This window comes from Homo sapiens, chromosome 12, assembly GCF_000001405.40.
Source record: "Homo sapiens chromosome 12, GRCh38.p14 Primary Assembly".
NCBI lineage: Eukaryota > Metazoa > Chordata > Mammalia > Primates > Hominidae > Homo > Homo sapiens.
The window spans coordinates 97,069,759-97,079,101 of NC_000012.12; the positions used below are offsets into that span (position 1 = coordinate 97,069,759).

The following is a 9,343-nucleotide window of genomic DNA, read 5'->3' on the forward strand; positions in this document are numbered from 1 at the left end:
TATCCCAACTGACAGAGCTCTAATTCATTCTTTTTTGATGACTGTATAATGTTCTTTGGTGGATCCAGTTGATGATCACTCCCATTGTTTCCATTCGTTGTTGTCATTGTTCTTGGTTTTTGCAGGCAGTAAATATCCTGTACCATATTCTTATGTATTTGAGCTTTCATTTATTTTGCTAGATTCCCAGAAAGGGAATTTGAGTGAAGACAAGTGTATTTTCGTTTTTAATGAATGTGGACACATTGTTTATCAACAAGGCTTTTACAATACACATTTCCTCTTAAACACATTTCTACGCTTGTACACATTTTCATCCTCTTTAAGAAATGTGAAATGGACATGTTAACAGCAAGAACAGTGATTATTACTCTTTCATACTTTGCCAATCTAATGGGCATTTTACATTTACATTTTACTTTTACATTTTCTGCACCACCAGTGCAGTTGAACATCTTTGAGTATTTTCTGGCCATTTATATCCAGTCTTCTGTGAATTTTTCCTCCTATTCTTTTCCTATGGGGAAAAACTGTCTTCTTGTTAATTTGTAGAAACTTTTTGTGCATACATCATATATTAACCGTTTTTCCAGTTTTGCAATTTTTTTAAAAAAAATCTATTGTTTATTTATTGGGTTTGTTTAGGGTAACATTTGCCATCAAAAGTATCTAGTTTTTACTTAGCCAAATATGCCTATCTTACCTTTCATAGTATGTGAGTTTTCAGTTTGAATGATACACATAGCCTTCTATAATTTTTTGAAATATATTTGTTTAATATTTTTATGTTTATATTTTTAATGCATTTAAAATTTGTTTTGTTATATGGTGTAAGATGGTAGTTCAAACAATTTTTTTCCACGTAGATATCCAAGATACTTTATTAAATATTCTTTTTTTACTTGATGAAATGAAATGCTACCCTTGTTATGTGTTAAATCCTCATATGCTAGTATAGTTGTTCCTAGGTATCCGTAAAAGATTGGTTCCAGAACCCCTGATGGATATCAAAATCTGCAATGATCAAATCTCTTTTATAAAATGTGTAGTATTTGCATATAACCTACTCACAGTCTGCAGTATACTTTAAATCATCTCTAGATTACTTATAATACCTAATGCAATGTAAGTGCTATGTAAATAGTTGTTATACTGTATAGTTTTTCTATTTGTATTTTTTATTGTATTGTTATTTTGAGGTTTTCTTGCAAATATTTTTAATGTGTGGTTGGTTAAATCCACAGAGGTGGAACCTGTGGATACTGAGGGCCAGCTGTATCTGATTCTTGATTTTGATTTTTTATTATGTTCCAATGATCTAATTTTCCATTTTAAGTTAATATTATTTTCTCTTTATATGATATTCTGATATCTGGTAGAGCAGACTCTTCTTCTACTCTTTCAAAAAATTCCTTTCTCCACAGTCTGCAAGTATTTATCCTCTCATAAAAAAATATACAATCATTGTAGCAAAAATCTAAAAAAAAATCATATTGGAACTCTAATTGAAGTTGCATTAGAAATTGTATTGATACATAAATAGATATTAATATAAATGATTTCTTGGTATTAAGTCTCCCTATCTGATAATATGGGTAATTTTTAAATGAGATTGTACTAATGTTTTCTCTACTATCTTATCATGATTTAGTGTAACGGTAAGCTGGATTCAATTAAGTGATAGTTTCTTCATTTTCTCTGGCCTAAAGTAGTTTAAATAACACTGGGAGTATCTGTTTACCAGAACATTTTTATACATGCTGGTGTATTGGTCATCTCAGTTCTGGTAAGATGCTAAAGTTGTTTTGTACCTTGTAGCTAGGAATGGGTTAACATTCAACAATGCACAAGACAGCCCTGCACAACAGAATATTATTCCATCGAAATTGCCAATACTGCTCCAGTTGAAAAACACTGGGTTTGAAAAACTAACCTGAGAACCTATAAGATCTCAGTGCTTTTTTTCTAATGGTAGAGTTTTTGTTTTTTCAACCTTTCAAATCTCTCTACTAATGGATCTCCTTCCCTTAGGAGAAGTATTCTTTTCGTTGCTTTCCAAATAGTTTATCATTTCTCTTTTGATTTCTATTTTGGTCCAAAAATTTTTTCTATTTTGGTCCAAAAATTTTCTAAGTGTTCAAATTTCCTAATAGTTATAATGTTTTGGGGGCAACTTTTTATTTCTAATTGTATCAGTTTATAATTGGAGAATGTAGCATGTGTTTTTAAAGTATATTACAGATTTTCTCTATGGTTAACTATGTGATTAGTTTTATAAATGAACCATGGGCCATTTCCCTGTCTCACTGAGGGCAAGCAAGCATGTGTGCACACACACACACACACACACACACACACACACGCATGTATATTTTCTATTTGAGAATTAAAATGTTCAATATAGATGGTATTTGCTTGCTAGAGCTGCCATAGCAAAACACCACAGACCGGGTGATTTTAACAACAGAAATTTATTTTCACAGTTATGAAAACTGGGAGTCCAAGATCAAGATGTCAACAGGTTTGATTTCTTCTGAGGCCTCTCTCTCTTTGGCTTGCAGATGTCTGCCTTCTCAAGGCGTCTTCACATGGTCTTTCCTCTCTGCCCATACATTCTTTGTGCCTCTTTTTGCATCCAAATTTCCTCTTAAGGACACAAGTCAGATTGGATTGGGGCCCACACTAATGTCCTCATTTTAACTTAACCACATCTTTAAAAGCACTCGAATTACTTGGGGTTAGAGCATCAGCATATGAATTGGGTTGGGGGTCACAATTCAGCCAATAACAGATTTATCAAGTGAATTTTACCAATTGCACTCTTTAATTTCTCTTTGATCTTACTTATTTCTTGTAAACTAGAGTTATATAATGTTCAAAAGATACACTGATGTTTCAAACTAAAATTATGTTTTTATTAAGGTCTTGCATTTATAATAATTTTGCTATATATAGAATTATATATAGTTATTTTAGAGAGAGGGAGAGAGAGTTATTATATCTTTTTTTTTTTTTTTGAGACTGAGTCTCGCTCTGTCGCCCAGACTGGAGTGCAGTGGTGCGATCTCTGCTCACTGCAAGCTCCGCCTCCCGGGTTCACACCATTCTCCCGCCTCAGCCTCCCAAGTAGCTGAGACTTTATATCTTCTTAAATTATGACTTTTGTTAAAACCTAATGATCATCTATTTCCTGGTTAAGGCTTTTAACATTATATTCCACCTTATCTAATATTAATATTATCTTGTCTTTGCCAACACATTGTTTTCAACTTTCTTAATCACTGTGTTGTACAATATTTTTTAACTGCATAATTCAAAGTTTTGTCTTTTTGTTCAATTTGACAGTCTCTTTCATTTAATGGAGAATTTAGTCTATTTGTTGTTACTTTAATGAAAATTTTATTTCTCTCCTTTTACTTTATTATTTATGTTGTCATTCTGCTTCTCCCTTATTCTATTTTTTTTTAGAGATGGGATCTCACTATGTTGCCCAGGTTAAAATACAGTGGCTATTTACAGGCCCAATCATAGTGCACTGCAGCCTCCAACTCCTGGGCTCAAGTTATCCTCCTGCCTCAGTCTCCTGAGTAGCTGGGACTACAGGTGTGCACCACTGCACCTGGCTCCTTATCTCCTTACCCTGATTTTAATTGGTTTGCTTATTCTATTCTTCTGCTTATGTATTTGGAAGACCCACTATACCATTTCTGTCCATTAATGGTTACTTTTCCATTCCCTGTAGTTATAATTTTATATGTATTTCTCTAATATTATTTGAAAAATGAGTTGCTAGTTTTCAATTTTTTTATTTTTTACCAAGAGGCACTGCTTCCCTCCATTTTCCCCACGCCAATAAAGTGATTCTCAGAACACTGACATGTATCCTCTTTCCACCCTTTATCCCACCTTCCCCTGTCAAGATTCTTACAGTGCTTTCCTTTCCCTGGTCCAGTAGAGGTCATTTCATCATCCTCAAGCCACAAGTGTTAAAGATGAAAAGTCTGATGCCTGCCTTATTCTTTTTCCTTTGTGGTAACTCATCTTGTTTTGTTTCTGTCAGGAAGTTTGCTGAATTTTCTTTTTATCCTTAGAATTCATAAATTTTATTAGGATAGTCTCAGGTCTATGTCTTTTCTAATTAGTCTATGACTGAACTTTGTCCTTTCATTCTGCAGACTCGTTTCTTCAGTTCAGAGAAAATTTTCTCTATTATGTATTTATGTATACATTGTGCCTTTGTCATCTCTTCCTGCCTTCTTTAGGAAAAGAAAAAGACACTAAGTTCTTGGCTTTGTCCTACAAGTCTTTTTTTCTTTTCTCTTAATATTTGTCACTTTCTATATTTTTATCTGCTCATATTTATCTCTTTCTCTATATATATACATATACATACATAATACATATATACACACATATATGTATATACATATATAACACATATGTACACACATATATGTATACACATATTATACATATATATATGTATTCCATCTATTTCTACTTTGGCTTTGTGTTTTGAGATGTTTCTTTTTTTTTTTTTTTTTTTTTGAGACGGAGTCTCGCTCTGTCGCCCAGGCTGGAGTGCAGTGGCATGATCTCGGCTCACTGCAAGCTCCGCCTCCCGGGTTCACGCCATTCTCCTGCCTCAGCCTCCCGAGCAGCTGGGACTACAGGCGCCCGCCACCACGCCCGGCTAATTTTTTGCATTTTTAGTAGAGACGGGGTTTCACCGTGTTAGCCAGGATGGTCTCGATCTCCTGACCTCGTGATCCCCCCGCCTCGGCCTCCCAAAGTGCTGGGATTACAGGCGCGAGCCACCGCGCCCGGCCGAGATGTTTCTTATACTTGCTTTTCCAAGTCACTAATTTGGGTCTTAACAGTAACCACTCACTCTCTAAATGCATCTATTAATACTAATATTTGCTTATTTGAGAAATCATTTTGATTCATTTTGATTTTCCTACAGTAAGTGCGTTTTGTCATTTGCTTTGTGATTGCTCTTATTGTAATATACATCTTTTATATCATCATCACTTATTTTCCTAACGTTTTATTTTTCTAGACATGTGTTTCTGTTTGCTTTTAATGACCTTACTCTCTCTGGCTTTATTATAATTTTTAAGAATATTTTATTCATTTATTCACTAATTTTTTTTTATCTTTCCCGGGGCTCAGTTGTGATCATTGAAGACATGGATTGGTAGCAGTTCAGGAAGGGATAGAAGGAGTGGTCTCTGCATTGTGGGTGAATGGCGTAGGCATAGGCAGGCTGCCAGCCTCCCAGGAAGGCTGCCTTCCCAGGAAAAAGCCTTCAGTCCCAGTTTTCCTTATACTCAACAGGGCTGAGGACAGGGAGAACTAGACCCACCTTCTTAGCTGCTTTTTATTCACTCATCTACCACTTCTTGCTTAAGCAGCCCAGGCATCCTTATGGGGCTTAGAATCCACTGTGTTCTGGGGCCCAAGCTCTTTCCAGCATCTCAGGAGTTGTGATCTTTGTGATGAGATCCTCTCTGAGGTTGATCTCCTGTAGTCTCTTGCTCATCTAGCCCCTATGGGGAAAACTTGAACCATTTCTTCTTTTGGAGACTTGCTCAGAGGGGAGGCCTCACTTCCACTCAGCAGTCATATGAGCCAATAAAAGCAGATAGACTGGAGTTGAGAGTGCAGCTGTTATAAACTACAGGAGGGTAGCCATGTTTTCAGAATCCCCAGAGGCCTATTTTAAAACGGTTACATTATAAATCAGCAAAATCTTAGCAAAATCCAGAGTTTCCTAGCCTTTTAAACAAGAGAAATAATCAGTCTAGCCTTGTTCTTTGCCTTAATGCACCTTGGCAATAAGAGCTTAAATGCCAAACAATGTTTTTTCTTTCACATGTGTGAGACCGAGGAACACTTATTGTAAAAGTTAAACAGAGTGACAGCTTGCTTTGGCTGATGTGTAAGAGTTCTTGACTGGGCTGCTTTCCTTTCTTCCATAATAAGTAGTTAATAGAAATTCACTGACCTGCAGTGCAGACTTAATTTATCGCGTATATCAAGTTGATTTAACAGGAATGGAATGTGGTGGAACAATAGCTTCCCTCTCTCCCCACCTCTTGGTGATCCTCCGACATTCGTTTGGAAAGAAAATCAGATTTAAAAACATGTAGAACCTTTGTGATTTTGAATAATTGGACTATGTTTGAAAAAAGTATTTAATCAATGACAATCATCTGTTTATTTGAAAAATGGTTGGGTTCAGGGAGGTGGTATTTATCTTTAAAATTTTCACTTGTAGGAAAGACTGAAGTGGCTGAGTACGCTATGTGCTTTGCACTGTATAAAGGGAAAACTGAAAATCCTGAATTGCTTCATTCTTTCATGGCATGTTCTTTATTTAGAAAATCCTTAATTAATTTTGTGTGAAAGCAGACGGTCAAAGGATTTAAAGAAGCAGAAAAACATCTTGAATTTCTTACTGCTTGCAAAGTGGGGAAAGTGAAAATGGTAAACTGATTAAAAGAAGTCATCTTGAAGCCTACCATTATAATGAGTTGTAAATAACAACAGTGACAAATCTGAATCATTTAAGAAAGTTTGCGCAGGATTTTTCCATTTGAAATGCATTTTTTTTCCAATTTTGGTCTCTTGAGACATCAGCCATTTAAAAGCATGATATTGGAACTAACCCAGCATCACTTTTAATTAGCACAGAAATGCTAATTATACTTTTTCTATGTGACGCTTAATGCGAGCTGTCAGGACACTGCATTTTTTACATCAGTTGTGGTGAGATACACAAGATCACCAGACCCACTTTAAAACGATAAAGACCAATACATCTAAACTGATGAGTATTTTTAAACTATAGGGAAGTGCTACAAGATGCATAAAAATAATGGCATCAAAGTGAAAAATTTGGGCTTTTTATTCACACCAAGTACAAGCATAATTTCACAAATTTTTCAATATTTGTGGTCTGTGAAACCAAATTTCTTACCATTGAATCATTGAAAATACACATAAAGCTTGATTTTGGAAGAAAACTACTTTTTCACTAAAGAATCTTTTCGAAAATCAAATAGCCACCCTCTCTTCATTTTTTAGGGCTTCGCATTTCAGATTTTCTTTTAGGGCTTTGCATTGCATTTTAGCTTTTAGCTTTTCGTAAAGGAAAGTCTACTTGTGTTCTTGGCTTTTTTTTTTTTTTTTAACAGCTCTAGGGCCGGGCACAGTAGCTCACACCTCAATCCTAGCATTTTGGGAGGCCGAGGCCGATGGATCACTTGAGGTCAAGAGTTGGAGACCAGCAGCCTGGCCAACATGACGAAACCCTGTCTGTACTAAAAATACAAAAATTAGCTGGGCGTGATGGCTCATGCTTGTAATCCCAGCTACTCGGGTGGCTGAAGCAGGAGAATCACTTGAAACCAGGAAGTGGAGGCTATGTTTAGCCAAGACGGTGCCACTGCGCTCCAGCCTGGGTGACAGAGCGAGACTCCACCTCAAAAAAAAAAAAAAAAAAAAAAAAAAAGAAGATGACAGCTCTAGGAATGCAATGGTTGCTGTCCCTCAATAAAATCTGTTGCCAAGTATAAATTTAATTAACTTGATTTTAGTTACTGAAGACAATTAGACTTAAATCCTCTCAATATTCAAACCTTCCATTTTGACGAATATTTGTATCAGAATGAGGGTGAGATTCTAAATAGCTTTTGAAGTTTATATTCATCATATAATTCTGGGATTCTATATAACAAAAGGGATTAAATCTATATTAAATTACTTTTTAAAAATGGTATTGATGTAATGAGTACTAGAGTTGGCCAGCAACCTGGAAGGAAAAATTCAACAAAATTATTTTGGGGGCACAAATTTTTCCTCAACTATAGTAAATCCTGTGAAATTTTGTCTCACTTGGATAAAGTGATGAATTTTTTAAAAGTCTGAATTGCGAAATATTGTAAAAGAAATTGAATTTGATTTTGTTTGGTACTGTGGCTTGCTATATAATAATAATAACAACACAGCAGTGATCACTGTTTTATTTATTGACCGTCCGCTCTAGTCCTGGCACTGTGCTGTGTGCTTTATATAATGGCCATACCAAGGAAGAGCCATCACTGTTTCTATTTTATAATCAAGTACAAGGCTCCGGACATTATGGAGCTTGCCCAAGGCTTTGCAGCTAGCAAGGCGCAAGAGTGGTTTACACCCAAAGCTGTCTGGTACTAAAGCCTTCTGTTAACCATTGCACTGTATGATAAAATGTATGCATTTTTAGTGATAGGGTAAAAAAAATCCTGAAGGGAATTTTTCTCCCTCTAAAACGAGGTTTAGTATGACCACTTAATCACGTGTTCACTGTTCTTGGGAAACCATTTCTTCTTTTTTTTGAGATGAAGTCTTGCTCTTGTCGTCCAGGATGGAGTGCAATGGTGTGATCTCGGCTCACAGCAACCTCCGCCTCCCAGGTTCAAGCCATTCTCCTGCCTCAGCCTCCTGAGTAGCTGGGATTACAGGCACCCACCACCATACCTGGCTAATTTTTTTGTATTTTTAGTAGAGACAGGTTTTCGCCATGTTGACCAGGCTAGTCTCAAACCCCTGACCCTAGGTGATCCACCTGCATAGGCCTCCCAAAGTGCCAAGATTAAAGGCATAAGCCACCATGCCCGGCCCCATTTCTTCTTATCTATGGCAAAAACAGATCTCAGTCCAGCAGGATTGACAGCTGACCAAGCACAAATGAATGCAAGACAGATAAATGGTCAATTTAGGAAGTGAGTTGACATCTACTTAAGTACAACAACAGTAAACATTTATGAGTCCTTAGTATGTGCCAGACACCGATTTGAGTGCCTCATATGTGTAACTTAATTGATCTTCACAGTTATTCCTTGTGGTAGCTACTGTTGTTATCACCTCCTCATTTTACAGTTAAAAATACTGAGGGACAGGGAAGCTGAACAGCTTATCCAAGGGCTCCAGGTAGAGCCAAAATAGAGCTAGAATTCAAACTCATGTCATCTAGCTCTAGAACTCATAGCAATTCCTTCCTTTTCTCCCAGAGGTTTTTTGTCAGTTTTTGTATCTGGAACATGGGGAAATGGCTGTCTTATTTACAGGACAAGGAGAAATAAGAGAAATAAGTGAGATCATGAATGTGACACTGCTAAAAACAATGCAAAATAATATAAGGTATTGATATTTATTAACACAAGTTTTCAAGTTTGATAATTATTTAGTGAATTTATTGGTACCCTAACTCTCTCAAAAAATAATTTGAGACATGCTACCAAAAAGGGACGTACAAATAAGGTTAACAGGAAAATCAAGTTTAAGCAAAGGAGGGAGA

The 9,343-nt window shown here is 36.1% G+C and overlaps 1 annotated feature.

Annotated features, from left to right (window-relative positions):
- Positions 5,167 to 7,553: an enhancer, noted in NCBI's record as "VISTA enhancer hs1341". NCBI's record gives its function as "enhancer in: forebrain[9/9]" and the evidence as "EXISTENCE:transgenic organism evidence [ECO:0001131][PMID:17130149]".